The sequence below is a fragment of the Homo sapiens genome, chromosome 18 (assembly GCF_000001405.40).
Source record: "Homo sapiens chromosome 18, GRCh38.p14 Primary Assembly".
NCBI classification, from domain to species: domain Eukaryota; kingdom Metazoa; phylum Chordata; class Mammalia; order Primates; family Hominidae; genus Homo; species Homo sapiens.
The window spans coordinates 649,620-674,814 of NC_000018.10; the positions used below are offsets into that span (position 1 = coordinate 649,620).

The 25,195-nt window shown below is 44.2% G+C and overlaps 3 protein-coding genes and 1 long non-coding RNA gene across 58 annotated transcripts in view, besides 5 other annotated features; 2 read left to right on the plus strand and 2 right to left on the minus strand.

Annotated features, from left to right (window-relative positions):
- CLUL1 (clusterin like 1) overlaps positions 1-563 on the plus strand; it is a 53,195-nt gene extending 52,632 nt beyond the window's left edge. For all 11 annotated transcript variants that reach the window (NM_001393346.1, NM_001393345.1, NM_001393347.1 and 8 more), the window contains one exon: positions 279-563. In NM_001393346.1, coding sequence (NP_001380275.1) covers positions 279-282 — 4 coding nt within the window. In that variant the 3' untranslated portion in view covers positions 283-563. The remainder of the gene's footprint in view (positions 1-278) is intronic.
- Positions 1-8,672, minus strand: TYMSOS (TYMS opposite strand RNA). The gene is made up of 2 exons (NR_171001.1): positions 8,223-8,672; positions 1-345 (listed from the first exon to the last, which is right to left on the minus strand). It is a non-coding gene; the product is annotated as a TYMS opposite strand RNA (long non-coding RNA).
- Positions 7,758-8,259: an enhancer, noted in NCBI's record as "H3K27ac hESC enhancer chr18:657377-657878 (GRCh37/hg19 assembly coordinates)". NCBI's record gives its function as "activates a minimal SCP1, AML or CMV promoter by ChIP-STARR-seq in naive H9 embryonic stem cells {active_cell/tissue: H9 hESC(naive)}" and the evidence as "EXISTENCE:reporter gene assay evidence [ECO:0000049][PMID:30033119]".
- Positions 7,997-8,176: a silencer, noted in NCBI's record as "silent region_9240". NCBI's record gives its function as "represses an Ori minimal core promoter by ATAC-STARR-seq in GM12878 lymphoblastoid cells {active_cell/tissue: GM12878}" and the evidence as "EXISTENCE:reporter gene assay evidence [ECO:0000049][PMID:35858748]".
- Positions 8,034-23,959, plus strand: TYMS (thymidylate synthetase). Of its 4 annotated transcripts, NM_001071.4 has the most exons (7): positions 8,034-8,328; positions 10,022-10,095; positions 12,527-12,701; positions 19,453-19,554; positions 21,073-21,248; positions 21,761-21,832; positions 23,241-23,959. In NM_001071.4, exons 1-7 carry the CDS (start codon positions 8,124-8,126, stop codon positions 23,376-23,378), a joined length of 942 nt encoding a protein of 313 aa, NP_001062.1. In that variant the 5' UTR covers positions 8,034-8,123; the 3' UTR covers positions 23,379-23,959. The 4 variants fall into 4 exon arrangements, with proteins under 4 accessions (NP_001062.1, NP_001341796.1, NP_001341797.1 ...); NM_001354867.2 differs by lacking the exon at positions 19,453-19,554; NM_001354868.2 differs by lacking the exons at positions 10,022-10,095; positions 12,527-12,701.
- Positions 8,260-8,759: an enhancer, noted in NCBI's record as "H3K27ac hESC enhancer chr18:657879-658378 (GRCh37/hg19 assembly coordinates)". NCBI's record gives its function as "activates a minimal SCP1, AML or CMV promoter by ChIP-STARR-seq in naive H9 embryonic stem cells {active_cell/tissue: H9 hESC(naive)}" and the evidence as "EXISTENCE:reporter gene assay evidence [ECO:0000049][PMID:30033119]".
- Positions 8,347-8,396: a silencer, noted in NCBI's record as "silent region_9241". NCBI's record gives its function as "represses an Ori minimal core promoter by ATAC-STARR-seq in GM12878 lymphoblastoid cells {active_cell/tissue: GM12878}" and the evidence as "EXISTENCE:reporter gene assay evidence [ECO:0000049][PMID:35858748]".
- Positions 8,627-8,746: an enhancer, noted in NCBI's record as "active region_13021". NCBI's record gives its function as "activates an Ori minimal core promoter by ATAC-STARR-seq in GM12878 lymphoblastoid cells {active_cell/tissue: GM12878}" and the evidence as "EXISTENCE:reporter gene assay evidence [ECO:0000049][PMID:35858748]".
- The window catches only part of ENOSF1 (enolase superfamily member 1), a 49,645-nt gene continuing 37,816 nt past the window's right edge, over positions 13,367-25,195 (minus strand). For 21 of the 42 annotated variants that reach the window (XM_047437621.1, XM_024451208.2, NM_001439137.1 and 18 more), the window contains one exon: positions 20,699-24,787. In XM_047437621.1, coding sequence (XP_047293577.1) covers positions 24,686-24,787 — 102 coding nt within the window. In that variant the 3' untranslated portion in view covers positions 20,699-24,685. Of the gene's footprint in view, positions 16,778-20,698; positions 24,788-25,195 lie in introns of those variants that run through there. The other 21 variants (XR_007066189.1, XR_007066188.1, XR_007066190.1 and 18 more) reach the window with 3 other exon arrangements.

Sequence of the window (25,195 nt, forward strand, 5' to 3'; positions counted from 1 at the left end):
TAGAGTTCAGAATAAACACTTTATTATCACATCAGAGGAAAAGACCATCTTAGAGGCTCAACAACCCAGGAAAGCTGTGACGATTTCTTCAAATTGTTAAGAATATCCATGCATATGGGTTTCACATTATTTTGCTACATACAGTACCAATTTTTCCAAAAGCCAACAGCAGGTATTCTATTACCCATCCTGGACTTTTACTCCAAGAAAAAATACACTGAGTCTGTGAGTAATTTATTAGTATTTTGATCATTGCTGCCTTTTTTTTTTTTTTTAAGGTAAGAAGATCTAATGCATCCTATATCCAGTAAGTAGAATTATCTCTTCATCTGGGACCTGGAAATCCTGAAATAAAAAAGGATAATGCAATAAACACAGTTGCAGGAAAGTATGTTAGCTATATACTATGAAGTACTCTTAGTTTACTTATGTTGAATGGCTTAGCTATTAATACTCAAATTGAGTTAAAATGAAAATTCCTCCTTAAAAAATCAAACGTAATATGTATTACATTTCATGGTACATTAGTAGTTCTTTGTATATTGAATAAATACTAAATCACCTAGGTGTCTATGTTCTATCACATCTACAAACATGTCACTTCCTAATTAACAAAATGTTCTTCCTTTAGTTTGCTTTTGCACTTAAAATATATATAATTGACTTTTTTGGAAAAAAATCTAAGATTCATTGCTTTGTTTTGTAAAGACCAATAGGTTCTGTATAGTCTTTTTTTAAATTGTGGTAAAATACACATGGCATTAATTTACCATTTTAACCATTTTAAAGTGCACAATTTGTGGCATTAAGTACACTCACGTTGCTGTGCAACCATCACCACCGTCCATCTTCAGAACCTTTTTATCTTCCTAAACTGAAACTCTGTACTCGTTAAGCACTCACTTCCCTTTTCCCCATCCCCCAGCCCGTAGCAACCACGACTGTACTTTCTATGAATTTGACTACTCTAGGTACTGCATGTAGGTGGAATCATACAGTATTTGTCTTTTGCTTTGTTTTGTTTTGTTTTTTGTTTTCTAAGACAGGGTCTCACTCTGTCGCCCAGGCTGGAGTGCAGTGGTGCAATCACAGTGTCCTTTTGTGACTGGTTTATTTCACTTAGTGCCATGTTTTCAAGGTTCATCCATGTTGTTGCATGTCTCAGAACTTCCTTTTTTAGGCTAATATTCTTGCATGTATTTACCTAGTTTTGCTTATCCATTCAGCCATTGATGGACACTTGGGTTGCTTCCATCTTTTGGCTATTGTGAATAATGCTGTTTTGAACGTGGGTGTGCTACATAGTTACTTTTTAAAATTGGCACAACAGCGCTGTCTTTTGACATACGTATTTTATGGAAAACACAAGATTTTCCTGGCTGACGCTCAACCTCATAATTTGGACCTTGGTGCAACACAATAATAGGAGAGCTATGTGTCAGTATATATCACTAAGGATTACAATGAGAGTATATACAGTCAGTATTACAAATTATAAAAAGAAATGTAGGCCAGGCACGGTGCCTCACACCTGTAATCCCAGCACTTTGGGAGGCCAAGGTGGGTGGATTACCTGAGGACAGGAGTTCGAAACCAGCCTGGCCAACATGGTGAAAACCTGTATCTACTAAAAATACAAAAATTGGCCAGGTGTGGTGGCGCATGCCTGTAATCCCAGCTACTCAGGAGGCTGAGATGGGAGAATTGCTTGAACCTGGGAGGCAGAGGTTGCACTGAGCCAAGATTGTGCCACTGTACTCCAGCCTGGGCAACAGAGCGAGACTCTTTTTTAATAAATAAATAAATAAATAAATATATAAAAGAAACGTAATGAAAGAGAGAGAACTCTGAACTTTTAAAGAACTTTTCACCCAGTCTTGATCTATCTGACAGAAAGGCTTGTCAGAGAAAGTTAGAGTTCAGAGGCAGCCAATTGAATATAATTAACTCCAAATGAAGATAAACCTTTTCTAAATCATAACTGAAGGCTATAAAAAATGAGAATTATGTTATTTTTTTTTTGAGACAGGGTCTTACTCTATTGCCCAGGCTGGAGTGCAGTGGCATGATCTGGGCTCACTGAAGCCTGACCTCCTTGGCTCAGGTGATCCTCCCACCTCAGCCTCCTGAGTAGCTGGGACTACAGGTACTACCATGCCCGTCTATTTTTGTATTTTTTTAGTAGAGATGGGGTTTCTCCATGTTGTCCAGGCTGGTCTCAAACTCCCAGGCTCAAGCAATCTGCCCGCCTCAGCCTCCAAAAGTGCTGTAATTACAGGCATGAGCCACTGCTCCTGGCAGGGAACTAATAGAATCCTGGGTTCTTCGGTGTGCAATAAATCTCAAATACAGTCTATTCAACCATAGATTTTAAATATTTGTTAGTGAAGGTGACAAAAAAATAAGTGATTAAGAGAACCTATTTTCTATCCAATGAGCTATCAAAAGCTTATAGAGTGGAAAGAGAGTGGGGGAAGTGAGGCTCAAAACAGCTAAATGGAAAGAAGATTTTGCATGCAGGCTGAACTGGATTTTCATCCTGGCTACTATATTCTCCAGATGTGTCACTTTGGCCAAGATCCTTAATCTCAGTGTCATCTATAAGGTAATTAAAGTACACTAGTGCCCCACTAATCTGTGGTTTTGCTTTCCAAGCTTTCAGTTACCCGAGATCAACTGCGGTTTTAAAATATTATGTGGAAAATTCCAGAAATACATAGTAAGTTTTCAATTGCATGCCATTAAATCTCATGCTGTCCCTGACCCCTTCCTCTCCGGAGGTGAATGCTCCCTTTGTCCAGTGGCTCCACGATGACTACATTCCCCAAATTGTTCTCTTAGGAACCCTTTCTGTGTTCAAGGAACCCTTACTTTACTTAATTATGGCCCCAAAGCACAAGATAGGGATGCCGGCATACTGTTATAATTGTTCTATTTTATTATTAGTTATTGTTGTTCATCTCTACCTGTGACTAATTTATGAATTCAACTTTATCATAGGTATGTAGGTATAGGAAAAAAACATGGTATGTATAAGGTTCAGTACTATCTGCAGTTTCAGACATCCCCTGGGGGTCTTGGAACATATCCCCCGTGGATAAGGGGAAACTACTGTAAAAGTTTGTGTTTTATAGAGTAGTTGTGAGAACTACATTAATCCATAATGTGTGGCTCATGATACTCATTGATAGATGGTAGTAGCAACAATAAAAAATAATATTATCAAGTAACTGATTCATAATTGACTCTCAAAAACGTTAATTTTCTGCTTTCCTTTACCTAAGTTTACCTACATGTTTGAATTTGTAAAGGGAAGGTTTTTCTAGACCAATAATTTTCAAATATTTTTGCTCTCATACTTCCTCAAAGGAAACTGAAAAAGTTGCAACATACTTGCATGTCATTTTTCTATATAAGTTGAAAGAATAGCAAATTGTTATTTTCCCACGCATCGTAAAGATTAGCAGGTCATCCCTCTTTAAAATGTACCAAATGGAATCTAAATATCATCGCAATTTGACCCAGCATCATCCATTTAAACAAATATACAAGTTTTTCTTTAACAATGAGAAATTTTATCTCATTACATTTTCTCCCTAAACTCTTATTTCAATCTACATTCCTAAGAATTTTATCCTAATGTAGTATATTTTTATGCTTAAATATCTTTTGTTGATCAACACAATTTTGATCATTTTTAAATTTTAAAAATTAAGAACATCCTGTGACATCAAATTCTAGGTATGAAATATTTATTCTAGATTGGGTGATCATTATAATTATTTTTTGTACATAATTGATCAAAATAACATAAATATACTACAAATTTCTATGACTACTAAACATATAAAAGTAAAATTTTAAACAAATATATCTCTTAATGAGAAGGAAGAGCTTTTTATACTCCAATAAGTTAACGTATCCACTAATAATTATTATTTCTTCCTAGAACAAGACAGGATTAAGCATCATGACCGTCCCTATTGGGGGATGTTTTTATAGATGCAAGCACTGTGGCACCTACTGGTATAAATGCACCTGCTGATTGGAATGTTCTTTCCCCAGATCTTCCCCTGCTGGTTTCTTCCCAGTATTCAGGTCTCAGCTCAAATGTGACTTCCTCAATGAGGCCTCCTGGTGATCAGATCTAAAGCACCCTCTACACAATCACTGTTTAGTGCTATACCCATTAATTTACTATCATCACACTTGTCACTATCTGCAGATGTCTTGTTTGGTTACTTTTGTAGTGTTTGTCACTGCCAGAATATCAGTTCTATGAAGAAAAGGGCCTTGTCTGTCTTGCTGTTTGTAGACATGAGGAAGGCACCATGATATAAATGTGTGTTAATGAATGAATGAATGAAATTTGTCTGAGAGAACCATTCATTCTAACCAACATTTATGGAGTAACTACTTTGAAAAGAACCATTCTGTCTTTACTATCAAGCCAAGATACTCAAGGAAGGCAGCAGAAGTGGAAGCTCCATGTGGGCAGAGGAGCCTAGTCTTGAGATGTGATTTAGCTGGTATTTGGGTGAAACAAATAAACCAGCCTCAAAATAACACAAGGGGCCGGGTGCAGTGGCTCACGCCTGTATCCCAGCACTTTGGGAGGCTCGAGGCAGGCAGATTACTTCAGGTGAGGAGTTCGAGACCAGCCTGGCTAACATGGTGAACCTCCATCTCTACTAAAAATACAAAAACTAGCTGGGCATGGTGATGGGTGCCTGTAATCCCAGTTACTCGGGAGGCTGAGGCAGGAGAATTGCTTGAGCCTGGGAGGCAGAGGTTGCAGTGAGCTGAGATTCTGCCACTGCACTCCAGCCTGGGTGACAGAGCGAGACTCCGTCGAAAAGAAAAAAAGAAAGAAAGAAAAAAAACACACAAGGATGTGCAACTGATGCAGGGCAGGTGAGCCCAGAATTGGGCTTAGCTCAGGAGGGTTCTTGGTTTTGCTCAGGAAAGAATTTAAGAGCTACCTGGTAGAAGAAAAGCTCTACTGATATGGCAACAGCTCCCTGAGTGCCCCTGTAGAGCAGAGCTACCCTATAGGCAGTGTGCTGACAGCAGTAGCTTAAAGGCAGGTCTGCAGTGATATTTATAACCTACTTTCAATTACATGCAAATTAAGGGGCAGATTATGCAGAAATGTCTAGAAAAAGGGTGGTAACTTCCGGTTGTCGGCTCACTGCCATGGAAAGGGGCAGTAAGCTCTGGATGTTGCCATGACAATCGTAAACTGACATGGCACACTGGTGGGCACGTCTTATGGAAAACTACTTCTGCCCCATCCTTGTTTTGACTACTCCTCAATTTGGTCCCATGTCAGAGCCCTGCCTCCAGAGTCAAGCCCTGTCTACCTCACAATTATTATGTATCAGGTTTTTAAAAAATAACACAAGTAAGGCTGGGCATGGTGGCTCACGCCTTTAATCCCAGCACTTTGGGAGGCCGAGGTGGGCAGATCACTTCAGATCAGAAGTCTGAGACAAGCCTGACCAACATGGTGAAACCCTGTCTCTCCTAAAAATGCAAAAAAAAAAAAAAAGAAAAAAAAATTAGCTGGGCATGGTGGCAGGCGCCTATAGTTCCAGCTACTTGGGAGGCTGAGGCAGAATTGCTTGAACCCATGCAGCGGAGTTTGCAGTGAGCTGAGCACCACTGCACTGCAGCCTGAGGGACAGAGCAAGATTCCACCTCAAAAAAAAAAAAAAAAAAAAAAAAGGAAAAAGAATAACACAAGGAAATTAAACACAGATAACGTGCATCTGGATAATCTGGAATATTTTCAGCCTGGGATCTTCCTCGTGCTCGGAAACGTGTAGGGAAACGTGTAGGGACAGTTTTCAGCTGGTGTGGGGTGGGGGAATGCCAACATATGGTTGGCTTTCCACAGTCCTGCTAAAGCCCTGCAATGTGCAGAACAAACCGGTCCAGCTAAGAAAAGTCCCACCCAAAATGCTGAGAGCACCTCTGTACTCAATCAACCGTTGAGGTAAAAGGATGCTTGCAAGTACAACACATGTATCAGTGCATTTTAAACTCATTATAAAATCGTTCTGTAAACCAAAAATAAAATTCTACGCCCAGAACCATCTGAAAAGACCACTCCTCTGGGTCAAAGGCATTCCAAATTTAACCACAAAAACTAGTTCAGGCCATGATGGGAAGGGGAGCCAGACATGCCTCATTATTCCCTCCTCCGTTTGGAATTTAGGCACAGCTGACCAGCATTGACATCAACACAGGCCTCAAGACAGGTAGAACACACTCTTTAAGTCTGACAAGAAACATTTACAATCTATCTCTCTAAAGCCTGCTACCTGGAGGTTTAATCTGCATGATGAATCCATGGTCTCCACAACCCCTTATCTTAACCCAGATATTCCTTTCTATTCATTCAAATCTTTTTTTTTTTTTTCCCCATACGGCTCTGTCACCCAGACTGGAGTGCAGTGGCGCTTTCTCAGCTACTGCAAGCAACCTCCGCCTCCTGGGTTCAAGCGATTCTCCTACCTCAGCCTCCTGAGTACCTGGGGTTACAGGCGTGTGCCACCTCGCCCCACTAATTTTTGTATTTTCAGTAGAGAGGGTTTCACTATGTTGGCCAGGATGGTCTCAATCTCCTGACCTCGTGATCTGCCCGCCTCGACCTCCCAAGTGCTGGGATTACAGGCGTGAGCCACCGCGCCCAGCCCTCTATTGATTCCAGATCTTTAGATAACAATTCTTTCAACCAAATGTATAAAAAATCAAGTTGTAGCCCAACCACCTTGGGGACATGTTCTCAGGATCTGCTGAGGGCTCTATCACCGGCCATTGGTCACTCATATTTGGCTCAGAATAAATTTCTTCAGATATTTTACAGAGTTTAACTCTTTTCATCAACAGTTCCCACTCCCCAGTGTTAATGTTATAAACAATTCAGTAAAACTGGGAAATGTGGTCTATTAAAAACTTGGGGCCGAGTGCGGTGGCTCACGCCTGTAATCCCAGCACTTTGGGAGGCCAATGTGGGTGGATCACCTGAGGTCAGGAGTTTGAGACCAGCCTGGCTAACATGGCGAAACCCCGTCTCTACTAAACATGAAAAAAAAAAATTAGCCGGGCGTGGTGGCGGCGCCTGTAGTCCCAGCTACGCGAGAGGCTGAGGCAGCAGAATTGCTTGAACCCAGGAGGCGGAGGTTGCAGTGAGCCGAGATCGCACCATTGCACTCCAGCCTGGGTGAGAGAGCGAGACTCTGTCTCAAAAAAAAAAAAAAAAGACCGCCAGGGCTCAAACAAAAAACCTCGGAAAAGCCCTGGCGGTCTTTTTTTTTTTTTTTTTTTTTTTTTTGGGACAGTCTTGCTCTGTCGCCCAGGCTGGAGTACAATGGTCGGATCTTGGCTCACTGCAACCTCTGCCTCCCAGGTTCAAGCAATTCTTCTGCCTCAGCCTCCCAAGTAGCCACCACGCCCAGCTAATTTTTGTACTTTTAGTAGAGACGGGGGTTTCACCATGTTGTCCAGGCTGGTCTTGAACTCCTGACCTCAGGTGATCCACCCGCCTCGGCCCCCCAAAGTACTAGGATTACAGGCGTGAGCCACCGCGTCCAGCGCCCTGGCGGTTTTTAATCAAGTAGAAAAGCTGCATTATACCACTTGCTTCGGTTGCTTCAGTGAGAACGAAGAAATGGAAATGCAAATCCCTTATTAGTTGTAGGAAACAGATCTCAAACAGCAGTTTTGTTGACAAGACCGCAGGAAAACGTGGGAACTGTGCTGCTGGCTTAGAGAAGGCGCGGTCGACCAGACGGTTCCCAAAGGGCGCAGTCCTTCCCAGCCACCGCACCTGCATCCAGGTTCCCGGGTTTCCTAAGACTCTCAGCTGTGGCCCTGGGCTCCGTTCTGTGCCACACCCGTGGCTCCTGCGTTTCCCCCTGGCGCACGCTCTCTAGAGCGGGGGCCGCCGCGACCCCGCCGAGCAGGAAGAGGCGGAGCGCGGGACGGCCGCGGGAAAAGGCGCGCGGAAGGGGTCCTGCCACCGCGCCACTTGGCCTGCCTCCGTCCCGCCGCGCCACTTGGCCTGCCTCCGTCCCGCCGCGCCACTTCGCCTGCCTCCGTCCCCCGCCCGCCGCGCCATGCCTGTGGCCGGCTCGGAGCTGCCGCGCCGGCCCTTGCCCCCCGCCGCACAGGAGCGGGACGCCGAGCCGCGTCCGCCGCACGGGGAGCTGCAGTACCTGGGGCAGATCCAACACATCCTCCGCTGCGGCGTCAGGAAGGACGACCGCACGGGCACCGGCACCCTGTCGGTATTCGGCATGCAGGCGCGCTACAGCCTGAGAGGTGACGCCGCGGGCCCCTGCGGGACGGGTGGCGGGAAGGAGGGAGGCGCGGCTGGGGAGAGCGCTCGGGAGCTGCCGGGCGCTGCGGACCCCGTTTAGTCCTAACCTCAATCCTGCGAGGGAGGGGACGCATCGTCCTCCTCGCCTTACAGACGCCGAAACGGAGGGTCCCATTAGGGACGTGACTGGCGCGGGCAACACACACAGCAGCGACAGCCGGGAGGTAAGCCGCGTCCCAGCGGCTCCGCGGCCGGGCTCGCAGTCGCCCCAGTGATGCCGTGGCCCCCGAGGCGGGCGTCATCGGGCAGCGTTTGCCCAGTGCTGGAGGGTTAGGGAGAGCTGCCTGGGCTTGACCGCGCGCCGGTCTCAAAGTCCTGGCTTTGGCCCCTCCTCCGTTTTCCCCTGTGGACCATTCCGCTTCGCAGCGTTTTCAAAAACTGGAGCGAAAGTGATGTGGGCGGGGCAAAGGCGGCGGGAAGAGGAGAGCACTGAAGCTGGCGCGGGAACTTGGTTTCCTGGTGGCCTCCCATCCAATCCCCACGAACCAGCTTTCCTCTTAAACCTTGAAAAGAGAAATTCGGGAGTTCGAGTATAAGTTCTTAGTCGTCCTTTCCTCTTTCCTTTCCGACAGGAGCACCCCAGGCAAAAAATGTCTCGCGGGTCATTGGCGCCAGGCTTTCAGGGGACAGTGGGGCGGGGCGGGGTGGGCACAGGACGTTAGGCAGCCGTTGGCCCTCCCTAAGGCCACACCGTCCTGCCGTCCTGGATCCTGCGCCAGCTGCGCGGGGGAGGGGACTCGAAGGTGTGTGAGCCAGGGGCTGACCTTGACCGCTCAGATAAATGGAGCGCAGCCTTGACACAGGGGTGGAGGTGGTTTTGAATGGGGAAACCCATTCGTGGTGAAGCAGATTCACTGTAGCTAGCGGAAAAGCCCTCCGGCCCACGGACCCATCTAGAGACGAATACATAGCAGCTGCTGTGGCTGATTGGCGTGGGACAGCGTGGGGAGTTTTGTCTGAGGAGAGGGATCCACTTTTCTGCAGCTCCAAGCCCAGGGGCCTTTGATGAGCCATAGACCTCATTTTTAACCCACCTTTCTGCTTAGACATTGAGCAAGTTACTTCTCATATAGCTTCCCTATATGTTAAAAATGGAGAAAATAATGCTTAGTAGGCAATTCTGATAAAAGCAGGTGCTTGCAAAAATCTCTCTGTTGTCTGAATATAAACTGTACCACAAGCGAGTGCGGATGAACGAGGACTGCATTTAAAGATAAGTTTTTACACTTTCATTTCTCTGTGGCTCGACACTTCTGATGCCTCCCTTTTTGTTCCTGGGACACATGCTTGGTGTTGTCTTCACACCTTTGTGACAGGATTAGCACTAGTGGGCAGTGGATGATAGCTCCTCCCTTTTGCCACATGTTCATCCCTGCCCTCGCCACCATCTCACTGTGTGGAATTCCTGTGTCCACTGGTCACCGGGGCACAGAAGTGCTGTCTCAGCCTGAATCGGGCCACTGATGGGACTTGCAGCCTGGGAGCTCCACCGTGATCTCTGGCCCACTTTGCGGGAGTCTAGGCTTTCTGGATGCTCCAGGGCCTCACGTCCCAGGGCAGTTTTCTTCCCTGAAGAAAGTTGGATGGCATGATCTGTCTTCCCATCTTGAAACCGTATGGCAAATTGTTTTTCAGATGAATTCCCTCTGCTGACAACCAAACGTGTGTTCTGGAAGGGTGTTTTGGAGGAGTTGCTGTGGTTTATCAAGGTAAAGAAGTCGCTGCTATTAGAAGTCAGTAGTCTGTTCTCAACACAGCAGCCAGTGAGATCCTTTCAAAACTCAAAGCAGCCAGGTGTGGTGGCTCACGCCTGTAATCCCACCACTTTGGGAGGCTGAGTCAGATCACCTGAGGTTAGGAATTTGAGACCAGCCTGGCCAACATGGCGACACCCCAGTCTCTACTAATAACACAAAAAATTAGCCAGGTGTGCTGGTGCATGTCTGTAATCCTAGCTACTCAGGAGGCTGAGGCATGAGAATTGCTCACGAGGCGGAGGTTGTAGTGAGCTGAGATCGTGGCACTGTACTCCAGCCTGGGCGACAGAGGGAGAACCCATGTCAAAAACAAAAAAAGACACCACCAAAGGTCAAAGCATATCATTCCTCACCCTCAAGCCCTTAGTGGCTCCATTTCACTCAGTAAGAGCCACGGTCCTTATGGTGTCCGTTTTTCAGCTCTGACCTTAGCTGCTGCTCTCTGCACCAGCCCTGCTGTTCTTGTGAGTTTTTGAGCACACCGGGACATCCCCACTCCCTGGAACCTTCTTCCCCCACACTTGGCTTCTTCCTTTGAGTCTCTACTCCACTCGGGCAAGCCTTCCTAGACCTCCTGATTTAAAACTGTGACTCTCCCCCAACCTCCTTGGTGTTTCTCCATAGACGAACATCACCATCTGATGTATGTCAGCCTTTCCCTTCCCCTGTTAGAAGGGGGACAGCAGGTAGTAAAAGTGAAATGTGCTGTAAGCTTTATGAGGGCAGAGGATTTGTTTCTCGTGTTCACTGTTGTATCGCCAGGGCCTCAAACACAGCCTGCCACATAGTAGGAGTCAACATATATTGATCACTAAATGTAGATACCACCTGTGTTCCCATGTTCATATAAATTCTAGAAGAGTCTCTTCAGTAACAAGGTGAACCCCTTCCAGAGGGCTGAGTAGGTACCTCAGGCCGGGGCCAGAGTGCTGTGAAGACAGGCAGCAGCCCAGACCAAGCTTCTCTGTGTTCCGTGTCCTGGTCTAGAACCAGCGATGTTCTTTCTGACCAGTGCTTTTTGGAAGGTGGCTGAGGTCTGGGCTCAGGTCTGGGCCATACTAGAAGCTGGGATCCCTTCTATAGAGCACTTGGTATGGCTTGTATGGTCTTGGGGCAAGCCAGACCCAAGCCCTCTTATCCCATTTTAGAAAGGGCTTCAATTTGGATCCAGCCCCAGGTCTGCCTTAGCTCTGTATTCTTGGGGTATTTTGTTCTGTATTGGCCTATCTTGACTAACAATGAACCTTGGATTTGAAACATATCATCAGAAACCTCAGAAGACAACATTCTTAAACTGGCTAGAGCCTGGTCTGAATGGATGAAAAGGAGAGACTTTTGAAGCAATATGTAAAAGATTGAGAAATGATTTGTTGGAAATTTCTCAATTGGAGAAATTTCTTTGATTTGTTGGAAATTTCTTTGATTCTTTCTCAATCAAAGAAAATCGGGACAAACTCAACAATAGAAAGGGAGGAAGCAAGATACTCAGAAATAAAATGCATTCCCCTGTTTCAACTTAATGCTTCAATTCAGGATTCTAAGGAATCCTTGCCAGGAATGTCAGACTCACCTTGATAGTTGGAGTTACTCCATTGGTGACTCGATCAAATACAGGAGTTGAGGCACCTGCACTGTAAAATACTGATTAGTCTGATCATTAGGAATATCCTGTATGCCAGGTAGAAGATACATTGAACAGATTGCATGTAGGCATTAAATTCATTTTGGGGTATTACATATAGACAACACATTTCATTAAGAAACATAAAACTGTCAGATCGGTGGAATACTTAAAAGCACTTGGAGGTGTTTAGCCTAAAAAGCTTAGTTGAGGGGAATGGAAGAAAAGATCTGGGAGGGTGGTTCCAAAGAAGGGATCAGACTGTCCTAAAGCCCTCAGGAATCTGGGCTGGGACCAGCCTACTTAAAGATAGGATGGGCAGCTGGGTGTGGTGGCTCACGCCTGTAATCCCAGCACTTCGGGAGGCCGAAGTGGGCGGATCACCTGAGGTCAGGAGTTCGAGGCCAGCCTGACCAACATGGAGAAACACTGTCTCTACTAAAAATACAAAATTAGCTGGGTGTAGTGGCGCATGCCTGTAATCCCAGCTACTCGGGAGGCTGAGGCAGGGGAATCGCTTGAACCTGGGAGGTGGAGGGTGCCGTGAGCCACGATCGCGCCATTGCACTCCAGCCTGGGCAACAAGAGCGAAACTCTCAAAAAACAAAAAAAAGGATGGGTTCCATATGGGTGGTGTCAAGTGCCCACCTCCTAGCAAGTCAGCAGGGGCCAGAGGCCCTTGTAAGTGGTGTCTCGGGGGGATCAACTGAGATGGCTTAGGATTTACCTGGATGCCTGCTCTGCTCTCCCCATCTCTTCCAGGGATCCACAAATGCTAAAGAGCTGTCTTCCAAGGGAGTGAAAATCTGGGATGCCAATGGATCCCGAGACTTTTTGGACAGCCTGGGATTCTCCACCAGAGAAGAAGGGGACTTGGGCCCAGTTTATGGCTTCCAGTGGAGGCATTTTGGGGCAGAATACAGAGATATGGAATCAGGTGAGGAGATAGAACAATGCCTTCCATTTCCCGGGTGCCCTTCCTAGCATGTGTTTGCTCCGTTGTTTTAGATAAGGTCTGGGGGATGAGTCAATGTCACAGGAGCTGATGTATAGCTTTGACCTTGTGAGGGGTGGTGCCAGGTTAAGCCACAATTAAGCCTCATGAAGGCCGTTTCACACTCTTTTTTTTTTTTTTTTTTAATTATTATACTTTAAGTTTTAGGGTACATGTGCACAATGTGCAGGTTAGTTACATATGTATACATGTGCCATGCTGGTGCGCTGCACCCACTAACTCATGATCTAGCATCAGGTATATCTCCCAATGCTATCCCTCCCCCCTCCTCCCACCCCACAACAGTCCCCAGAGTGTGATGTTCCCCTTCCTGTGTCCATATGTTCTCGTTGTTCAATTCCCACCTATGAGTGAGAATATGCAGTGTTTGGTTTTTTGTTCTTGCGATAGTTTACTGAGAATGATGATTTCCAATTTCATCCACGTCCCTACAAAGGACATGAACTCATCATTTTTTATGGCTGCATAGTATTCCATGGTGTATATGTGCCACATTTTCTTAATCCAGTCTATCATTGTTGGACATTTGGGTTGGTTCCAAGTCTTTGCTATTGTGAATAGTGCCACAATAAACATACGTGTGCATGTGTCTTTATAGCAGCATGATTTAATAGTCCTTTGGGTATATACCCAGTAATGGGAGGGCTGGGTCAAATGGTATTTCTAGTTCTAGATCCCTGAGGAATCGCCACACTGACTTCCACAATGGTTGAACTAGTTTACAGTCCCACCAACAGTATAAAAGTGTTCCTATTTCTCCACATCCTCTCCAGCACCTGTTGTTTCCTGACTTTTTAATGATTGCCATTCTAACTGGTGTGAGATGGTGTCTCATTGTGGTTTTGATTTGCATTTCTCTGATGGCCAGTGATGGTGAGCATTTTTTCATGTGTTTTTTGGCTGCATAAATGTCTTCTTTTGAGAAGTGTCTGTTCATGTCCTTCGCCCACTTTTTGATGGGGTTGTTTGTTTTTTTCTTATAAATTTGTTTGAGTTCATTGTAGATTCTGGATATTAGCTCTTTGTCAGATGAGTAGGTTGCAAAAATTTTCTCCCATTTTGTGGGTTGCCTGTTCACTCTGATGGTAGTTTCTTTTGCTGTGCAGAAGCTCTTTAGTTTAATTAGATCCCATTTGTCAATTTTGTCTTTTGTTGCCATTGCTTTTGGTGTTTTAGACATGAAGTCCTTGCCCATGCCTATGTCCTGAATGGTAATGCCTAGGTTTTCTTCTAGGGTTTTTATGGTTTTAGGTCTAACGTTTAAGTCTTTAATCCATCTTGAATTGATTTTTGTATAAGGTGTAAGGAAGGGATCCAGTTTCAGCTTTTTACATATGGCTAGCCAGTTTTCCCAGCACCATTTATTAAATAGGGAATCCTTTCCCCATTGCTTGTTTTTCTCAGGTTTGTCAAAGATCAGATAGTTGTAGATATGCGGTGTTATTTCTGAGGGCTCTGTTCTGTTCCATTGATCTATATGTCTGTTTTGGTACCAGTACCATACTGTTTTGGTTACTGTAGCCTTGTAGTATAGTTTGAAGTCAGGTAGTGTGATGTCTCCAGCTTTGTTCTTTTGGCTTAGGATTGACTTGGCGATGTGGGCTCTTTTTTGGTTCCATATGAACTTTAAAGTAGTTTTTTCCAATTCTGTGAAGAAAGTCATTGGTAGCTTGATGGGGATGGCATTGAATCTATAAATTACCTTGGGCAGTATGGCCATTTTCACGATATTGATTCTTCCTACCCATGAGCATGGAATGGTCTTCCATTTCTTTGTATCCTCTTTTATTTCATTGAGCAGTGGTTTGTAGTTCTCCTTGAAGAGGTCCTTCACATCCCTTTTAAGGTGGATTCCTAGGTATTTTATTCTCTTTGAAGCAATTGTGAGTGGAAGTTCACTCATGATTTGGCTCTCTGTTTGTCTGTTATTGGTGTATAAGAATGCTTGTGATTTTTGCAGATTGATTTTATATCCTGAGACTTTGCTGAAGTTGCTTATCAGCTTAAGGAGATTTTGGGCTGAGACAATGGGGTTTTCTAGATATACAATCATGTCGTCTGCAAACAGGGACAATTTGACTTCCTCTTTTCCTAATTGAATACCCTTTATTTCCTTCTCCTGCCTAATTGCCCTGGCCAGAACTTCCAACACTATGTTGAATAGGAGTGGTGAGAGAGGGCATCCCTGTCTTGTGCCAGTTTTCAAAGGGAATGCTTCCAGTTTTTGCCCATTCAGTATGATATTGGCTGTGGGTTTGTCATAGATAGCTCTTATTATTTTGAAATATGTCCCATCAATACCTAATTTATTGAGAGTTTTTAGCATGATGTGTTGTTGAATTTTGTCAAAGGCCTTTTCTGCATCTATTGAGATAATCATGTGGTTTTTGTCTTTGGATCTGTTTATATGCTGGATTACATTTATTGATTTGTGTATATTGAACCAGCCTTGCATCCCAGGGATGAAGCCCACATGATCATGGTGGATAAGCTTTTTGATGTGCTGCTGGATTCGGTTTGCCAGTATTTTATTGAGGAATTTTGCATCAATGTTCATCAAGGATATTGGTCTAAAATTCTCTTTTTTGGTTGTGTCTCTGCCCAGCTTTGGTATCAGGATGATGCTGGCTTCATAAAATGAGTTAGGGAGGATTCCCTCTTTTTCTATTGATTGGAATAGTTTCAGAAGGAATGGTACCAGTTCCTCTTTGTACCTCTGGTAGAATTCGGCTGTGAATCCATCTGGTCCTGGACTCTTTTTGGTTGGTAAGCTATTGATTATTGCCACAATTTCAGCTCCTGTTATTGGTCTATTCAGAGATTCAACTTCTTCCTGGTTTAGTCTTGGGAGAGTGTATGTGTCAAGGAATTTATCCATTTCTTCTAGATTTTCTAGTTTATTTGCGTAGAGGTGTTTGTAGTAATCTCTGATGGTAGTTTGTATTTCTGTGGGATTGGTGGTGATATCCCCTTTATCATTTTTTATTGCGTCTATTTGATTCTTCTCTTTTTCTTTATTAGTCTTGCTAGCGGTCTATAAATTTTGTTGATCCTTTCAAAAAACCAGCTCCTGGATTCATTAATTTTTTGAAGGGTTTTTTGTGTCTCTATTTCCTTCAGTTCTGCTCTGATTTTAGTTATTTCTTGCCTTCTGCTAGCTTTTGAATGTGTTTGCTCTTGCTTTTCTAGTTCTTTTAATTGTGATGTTAGGGTGTCAATTTTGGATCTTTCCTGCTTTCTCTTGTGGGCATTTAGTGCTATAAATTTCCCTCTACACACTGCTTTGAATGTGTCCCAGAGATTCTGGTATGTTGTGTCTCTGTTCTCGTTGGTTTCAAAGAACATCTTTATTTCTGCCTTCATTTCGTTATGTACCCAGTAGTCATTCCGGAGCAGGTTGTTCAGTTTCCATGTAGTTGAGCAGTTTTGAGTGAGTTTCTTAGTTCTGAGTTCTAGTTTGATTGCACTGTGGTCTGAGAGATAGTTTGTTATAATTTCTGTTCTTTTACATTTGCTGAGGAGAGCTTTACTTCCAACTATGTGGTCAATTTTGGAATAGGTGTGGTGCGGTGCTGAAAAAAATGTATATTCTGTTGATTTGGGGTGGAGAGTTCTGTAGATGTCTATTAGGTCCGCTTAGTGCAGAGCTGAGTTCAATTCCTGGGTATCCTTGTTAACTTTCTGTCTCGTTGATCTGTCTAATGTTGACAGTGGGGTGTTAAAGTCTCCCATTATTAATGTGTGGGAGTCTAAGTCTCTTTGTAGGTCAGATGATTGGCACTTACTGGGCGCTTGGCACTTTCCATACTGTGTCATCGGCAGATAGCTGCATGGTTGGTGTTCGTGCTGGGGAATGGGAAGTTCATCGGTGGGACAAGGGACAAAATGCCCCCATTGCTTTGTTGTGGCTTTAATCTCCCTTTCGAGGCTGAGCCACAGCGTGCTGTAGGTGGCGCTGCTGTGAAGCGCAGTGCCAGGGTCACACTCCACTCCCAGCTCTGCAGAGGTGGAGAAAGAATGAAACATCTCACTCCTGGACTTCCACTTTCCTGTCACTGTTGGTGTCACCTCTTACTGGATGTCACAGAGCCCAGCCCCTCCCACCTGTCCCTAGGAAAAGCAGATGCCACCTTGGAATGTGGGGTTTGTGTGTGCAATTTACTAGCTGGGCAGAGACCAGCAACCTGGAGAGCAGGTGTCTCATCTAAGGGGACAGTCACATTTCACCTCCAGCCACCTGGAGGAATTTGGGCCTGGTGATGTCAGAATTCTTCAATAAAAGCCTAAAATCTATATTTTATGTGCGGTCATGAGATCTGTTAAATGTTAGCAACTTCAGGAAGTTTAAAAATGCTGTGTGGACCTAGAATAGGCAAGTTCTTAAAGGCAGAAAGTGGAATGCTAGTTTCCAGGGACTGGGGAACAGGGAGGAATGGGGAGTTCATGTTTAATGGGCACAGAGGTTTTGTTAGGGATGACGAAAAAGTTCGGGAGATGGTGATGGAGATGGTGATGGTGATGGAGATGGTGATGGTGATGGAGATGGTGATGGTGATGGAGATGGAGATGGTGATGGAGATGGAGATGGTGATGGTGATGGAGATGGTGATGGTGATGGAGATGGAGATGGTGATGGAGATGGTGATGGTGATGGAGATGGAGATGGTGATGGTGATGGAGATGGTGATGGTGATGGAGATGGAGATGGAGATGGTGATGGTGATGGTGATGGAGATGGTGATGGTGATGGTGATGGTGATGGAGATGGTGATGGTGATGGTGATGGTGATGGAGATGGTGATGGTGATGGTGATGGAGATGGTGATGGTGATGGAGATGGAGATGGTGATGGTGATGGTGATGGAGATGGTGATGGTGATGGGATGGTGATGGAGATGGTGATGGTGATGGTGATGGAGATGGTGATGGTGATGGAGATGGTGATGGAGATGGTGATGGTGATGGAGATGGTGATGGTGATGGTGATGGTGATGGAGATGGTGATGGTGATGGTGATGGTGATGGTGATGGAGATGGTGATGGTGATGGTGATGGTGATGATGGAGATGGTGATGGTGATGGTGATGGTGATGGTGATGGAGATGGTGATGGTGATGGTGATGGTGATGGAGATGGTGATGGTGATGGTGATGGAGATGGTGATGGTGATGGAGATGGTGATGGTGATGGTGATGGTGATGGTGATGGTGATGGAGATGGGTGATGGTGATGGTTGCCTAACATCAGGAACGTGCTTAATGCTTCTGAATTGCACACAAAAATGGCAAGTTTAATATTATGTGTACTTTATCACAATGAAAAAAGCTGCTGCGTGGGCCAAGTTACTTGTGCAGGTAAGTGTTCTGCAGGTCGTTGCCTGCACCTCAGTTGTAGGGTGTCCGTAGGATGTGAGGCCAGTCCCCGGGCTTAATGATGCTTTAAATCCTGCCTAGTATTCAATTATTTCTTGTCGCTTAAAAGGCCTAATAAAATTATGGTTTTAGTTTACAGTGGTATGAATGCTTAGCTGTTGGATTTTAGTAGGAAAGTTTGTCCCTTTTTGTTTTTAATTTTGTTTTACAGATTCACAGGAATTTTTTTTTTTTTTTTTTTAATGCACAGAAAGTTTCCCTGGACACACTACCCAGTTTCCCCCAGTGATAATATCTTGGGTAACATCCTGTATACATTCACATTGGTGCATTCCTCAGAGTTGTCAGATTTTGCTAGTTTTACGTGCACTTGTGTATGTGTGTATTTGCAATTTTAGCACGTGTAGACTCTTGTAACCACTACAATCAAGTTACAGAACTACACTACCAAGGTTCATCTTTTTAAAATCTTTGATGTTACCTTTTTCGGAACAGTGACCATGAGAGGACTTTCCTCCCAAAATTTTGAGAACTACTGAACCAGAATATAGTCTGACACTAATAGGTAGAAATTTAACCAAAGGAGATTATGAAGCTCTGCACTTCAGTTAACAAATCACTTCTCAGCTTCCAGTTCCATCTCAGAAGGAAGGAAAGGGATTAAAATCCAGAGACCAGAAATGGGAGCAAAGTACAAGGTGGTGTAATCATTACAGAGGTTTCCTGATGTTTCCAAGTCAGTCGTGTGTTGAGCTGCTAAACTCTAAAGTAATTTTAGGTGGAAGTGTTGGAAACATGCTGCTGAGGTGATAGAAAGGAATCCATGGTCCTCTGTTAGTTGGAAAGTATATGGAATACTATATTCTACATAAGATACAACACTCTCTGTGAGACAAGGATAAAGTAGATTTTGTCAGTGAAATTGTGACAAGAATCGCTGATGGGTTTAGAGCCTAAGTTTGCGAGGAGCACTGGAAGAAATTAAGATTGTTGAGATTGGAAAGGGTTAGCTATGGGGGGAACAGGAGGAGGTGACTCCATGACAGACCAAATATTCAAAGGACTGTGTAGAAGAGGAAAAAGACTTTGTTAGGGCTCCAGAGGACAGAGCCAGGAGTCAGACAGGGCCTTGAACTCAACCCACCGAGATCTGCAAACTTTGCAGGATGCACCAGATGTCTTGTAGCCATGGGTCAAGGGGGGACCCTGGGTAAGAGACTGTAATAGATGACCTCTAAGGCCATCTCATGACATGTGTGATTAATGTATGTACCTGTCCTCTCTTTTTGACAATTCTACAGATTATTCAGGACAGGGAGTTGACCAACTGCAAAGAGTGATTGACACCATCAAAACCAACCCTGACGACAGAAGAATCATCATGTGCGCTTGGAATCCAAGAGGTTGAAAGAACCCCGTCGTCTTCATTTATACTAACCATACTCTTAGAGGGAAGCAATCTGGTTTTGTGCAGAGGCACCTGAGGGAGGCAGGACCCTGGGAACTTCCCCCAGCCACATGGTTGATTGTGTGACGTTGGGCAAGTCACATTTTGCTGCACTTTCACCTTCAGATCATGAGGTTGGGCCCAGAGGATTTTTTTTTTTTTTTTTTTTTTTTGAGACAGAGTTTTGCTCTGTTGCCCAGGCTGGAATGCAACGGCGTGATCTTGGCTCACTGTAACCTCTGCCTCCTGGGTTCGAGTGATTCTCCTGCCTCAGCCTCCCAAGTAGCTGGGATTACAGGCATGTGCCACCATGCCCGGCTAATTTTGTATTTTTAGTAGAGACGGGGTTTCACCATGTTGGTCAGGCTGGTCTTGAACTCCTGACCTCAGATGATCTGCCTGCCTCAGCCTCCCAACCAGATGATCTTAATTTGTGTATTTATACTCATTCTTACACCAAAAAGGGTTTTAAATTGCCTAGAAACTACATGTAAGATGTTAACATTTTAAATGGAAGCAGATGAAGTTCCAGCTCGCTGCCACCTCACTAACATTTTTAACAATTATATTGTAAAATTCAACTCTACCAGGGTGTAGAGCCAGGTGTGGTGGCTCACACCTGTAATTCCAACAACTCCAGAGGCCAAGGCGAGAGGATCATTTGAACCCAGGAATTTGAGGCTGTAGTGAGTCATGATCACGCCATTGCACTCCAGCCTGGGCAACAGAGTGAGACCCTGAATATTTAAAAACAACAACAACAACAAAACTCTATCAGGATATCATAAGTACTTAGAGTGAAATACTTGCATCTGTAATAGAGACTTATTTTTTTTTTTTTTTTGAGACACAGTCTCACCCTGTTGCCCAGGCTGGAGTGCAGTGGTGTGATCTCCGCTCACGGCAACCTCCATCTCCCAGGTTCAAGTGAGTTCCCATTCCTCAGCCCCAGAGCTGGGACCACAGGCGCGCGAATTTTTGTATTTTTAGCAGAGACGGGGTTTCACTATGTTGGCCAGGCTAGTCTCGAACTCAAGTTGGCCTCAAGTGATCTGCCCACCCTGGCGTCCCAGTGTTGGGATTTCAGGCATGAGCCACTGTGCCTGGCCATGTAATAGAGACTTTTAATATAGGAGGGTGTACCAGAAGCACCAGTTTCCTGTGGCAAACAGAATTATTCCTGCTGTATTTGTAATCTGGTGCCACGAGGTAGCCCAGATCCCTTCAGCTCTGATGGAAGAGCATTGCTTCAGCCGTAAATGGACACCTGCAGAAACCTTGCACCGATGGATAGTCTCCCTCAGCTCCGTGCCATCGCTGCAGAGGCTGTTATGGACATCACTGCAGCCCAGTGGCTCTCTCTCCTGGTCTCCACCATATGAGTTGGCTTCTGTTTCTCTCCTGTTTTACTTTGCCTTTAGCTGTGGTCTTTCAAACCACCATCCCTCCTTATCTTCCTCTGCTGGTTCCTCAGATCTTCCTCTGATGGCGCTGCCTCCATGCCATGCCCTCTGCCAGTTCTATGTGGTGAACAGTGAGCTGTCCTGCCAGCTGTACCAGAGATCGGGAGACATGGGCCTCGGTGTGCCTTTCAACATCGCCAGCTACGCCCTGCTCACGTACATGATTGCGCACATCACGGGCCTGAAGGTGGGCTGTCTCGGGAAGGGTGACTTGCCAGCCTACCACACTGAGCTCTTCAGTTCTTTAATATGGGAAAACAAATTGCAGAGTTTAGTCTCTGATTAGCTTTTAAATTTGATATGTGTAAGTAAGAAATGAACCAGCTTTTACTTTGAAACCTTCCTCTTCTGGAAGGTTTTCTGGCCCTGTGGTATACGCACTAACAGATCTATACAGGTTGTTTGTGATACAGCTTCTATGGATTTTCTCAAAAGCTATGCTGAGGTTGGGTATGGTGGCTCATGCCTGTAATCCCAGCACTTTGGGAGACTGAGACAGGAGCAATTGCTTGAGGTCTGGAGTTCAATACCAGCCTGGGCAACATAACAAGATGCTGTTGCTACAAAAAAATGGAAAAGCTACACTAAATTATTTTTTTAAAAAAAGCCTTGCGGTGTCTGCATATTCTAATGTTTTTAAATGATGTTTTAAAGAATTGAAACTAACATACTGTTCTGCTTTCTCCCCCGGGTTTATAGCCAGGTGACTTTATACACACTTTGGGAGATGCACATATTTACCTGAATCACATCGAGCCACTGAAAATTCAGGTAAGAATTAGATGTTATACTTTTGGGTTTGGTACCTTCTCTTGATAAAAGGTTGACTGTGGAACAGGCATCTGCTCAATGCTGTGTCCAAGATAAAGATGACTGCTCCAAATGTGGGGCTTCAGTTTAGGGAGAAGTGGTGGGCAGGTGGGCAGGACAAGGCAGGCATCTGCCTCAGCAACCATGGGCACTTAACATGTCAGGTGCTGTGAGGTACTAAGCACCAGTACCAGAGAGGGAAGAGCCACATTCAAGCCAGGGGATTGTCCAAAAGGGGGCATTTTAACTCATTTTAACTTGAAGGAGAATTGAAGTGCAAATGTTTTTCCTTTTCTTTTTTTTTTGAGATGGAGTCTTTCTCTGTCGGCCAGGCTGGAGTGTGCCGTGGTGCGATCTCAGCTCACTGCAACCTCCACCTCCCGGGTTCAAGCAATTCTTCTGCCTCAGCCTCCCAGGTAGCTGGGATTACAGGCACATGCCACCACACCCAGCTAATTTTTGTATTATTAGTAGAGATGGGGTTTCATCATGTTGGCCAGGCTAGTCTCAAACTCCTGACTTCAAGTGATCCACCTGCCTCAGCCTCCGAAAATTCTGGAATTACAGGCATAAGCCACCACCCTGGCCATAAATATTTTTTGTTAATTTTACATTAAGTACAATATTTAGGTCCAAACTTCAAAAGTCTGTTGAAATCCCTAAGTTATAGCAGCCAACAATTGATATGAAATGGCAATAAAAATGTAAGTTCATCTGCTTCATGAGCCTTAAGGAAAAAAACTCAGAACCAGACACTTTTTAGCCCCTTCCAGGTTAGATCCAGGTTTTAAAAGTTACTCCTTTGAGGGAGTTTGGCTGCTTTTGAGTGGAGGTGACTTCAGGCTTATTCTCTCTGGCTCTCTGCTCTGGTCGTTTTTAGACATAGTAATAGGTTGTGACCTGTCTTCACATCCTAATTGCCACTGTCTGTTCATCCCAGGAATCCTGGCTTTCATCCCTTTCTGTTCACTGTCCATGCATGTCATCTTTCCTTCTTTCTGCCAGGGACAGATGGGTTAGGGATTGTGGAATTCAAGTAAACGTAGAGCTACTATGAGTTACAGATTGACTGTGTTCCTGTCTTTAATAAATTTGCCAAGAGTGGTTATAAGAACTTACACCTGATGAGGCACCAGGCTCCTGATGCTGTGTAATGTCACAAAATACCCCTCACTCTCGATCTGTGCAAGAGAACAGCTGGTTGCGCTCCAATCATGTTACATAACCTACGGCAAGGTATCGACAGGATCATACTCCTGTAAAATAGAACTTTGTTGATCACATCCTGTGTACTTGTTTCACGGACATGAGGAGCAATTACAACAGGTCGTACAATTATGGCAAAATAATGGCCTTATTTTGTTTTTAGCTTCAGCGAGAACCCAGACCTTTCCCAAAGCTCAGGATTCTTCGAAAAGTTGAGAAAATTGATGACTTCAAAGCTGAAGACTTTCAGATTGAAGGGTACAATCCGCATCCAACTATTAAAATGGAAATGGCTGTTTAGGGTGCTTTCAAAGGAGCTCGAAGGATATTGTCAGTCTTTAGGGGTTGGGCTGGATGCCGAGGTAAAAGTTCTTTTTGCTCTAAAAGAAAAAGGAACTAGGTCAAAAATCTGTCCGTGACCTATCAGTTATTAATTTTTAAGGATGTTGCCACTGGCAAATGTAACTGTGCCAGTTCTTTCCATAATAAAAGGCTTTGAGTTAACTCACTGAGGGTATCTGACAATGCTGAGGTTATGAACAAAGTGAGGAGAATGAAATGTATGTGCTCTTAGCAAAAACATGTATGTGCATTTCAATCCCACGTACTTATAAAGAAGGTTGGTGAATTTCACAAGCTATTTTTGGAATATTTTTAGAATATTTTAAGAATTTCACAAGCTATTCCCTCAAATCTGAGGGAGCTGAGTAACACCATCGATCATGATGTAGAGTGTGGTTATGAACTTTAAAGTTATAGTTGTTTTATATGTTGCTATAATAAAGAAGTGTTCTGCATTCGTCCACGCTTTGTTCATTCTGTACTGCCACTTATCTGCTCAGTTCCTTCCTAAAATAGATTAAAGAACTCTCCTTAAGTAAACATGTGCTGTATTCTGGTTTGGATGCTACTTAAAAGAGTATATTTTAGAAATAATAGTGAATATATTTTGCCCTATTTTTCTCATTTTAACTGCATCTTATCCTCAAAATATAATGACCATTTAGGATAGAGTTTTTTTTTTTTTTTTTTAAACTTTTATAACCTTAAAGGGTTATTTTAAAATAATCTATGGACTACCATTTTGCCCTCATTAGCTTCAGCATGGTGTGACTTCTCTAATAATATGCTTAGATTAAGCAAGGAAAAGATGCAAAACCACTTCGGGGTTAATCAGTGAAATATTTTTCCCTTCGTTGCATACCAGATACCCCCGGTGTTGCACGACTATTTTTATTCTGCTAATTTATGACAAGTGTTAAACAGAACAAGGAATTATTCCAACAAGTTATGCAACATGTTGCTTATTTTCAAATTACAGTTTAATGTCTAGGTGCCAGCCCTTGATATAGCTATTTTTGTAAGAACATCCTCCTGGACTTTGGGTTAGTTAAATCTAAACTTATTTAAGGATTAAGTAGGATAACGTGCATTGATTTGCTAAAAGAATCAAGTAATAATTACTTAGCTGATTCCTGAGGGTGGTATGACTTCTAGCTGAACTCATCTTGATCGGTAGGATTTTTTAAATCCATTTTTGTAAAACTATTTCCAAGAAATTTTAAGCCCTTTCACTTCAGAAAGAAAAAAGTTGTTGGGGCTGAGCACTTAATTTTCTTGAGCAGGAAGGAGTTTCTTCCAAACTTCACCATCTGGATACTGGTGTTTCTTTACAGATTCCTCCTTCATTTCTGTTGAGTAGCCGGGATCCTATCAAAGACCAAAAAAATGAGTCCTGTTAACAACCACCTGGAACAAAAACAGATTTTATGCATTTATGCTGCTCCAAGAAATGCTTTTACGTCTAAGCCAGAGGCAATTAATTAATTTTTTTTTTTTTGACATGGAGTCACTGTCCGTTGCCCAGGCTGCAGTGCAGTGGCGCAATCTTGGCTCACTGCAACCTCCACCTCCCAGGTTCAAGTGATTCTCCTGCCTCAGCCTCCCATGTAGCTGGGATCACAGGCACCTGCCACCATGCCCGGCTAATTTTTTGTATTTTTTGTAGAGACAGGGTTTCACCATGTTGGCCAGGCTGGTCTCAAACACCTGACCTCAAATGATCCACCTGCCTCAGCCTCCCAAAGTGTTGGGATTACAGGCGTAAGCCACCATGCC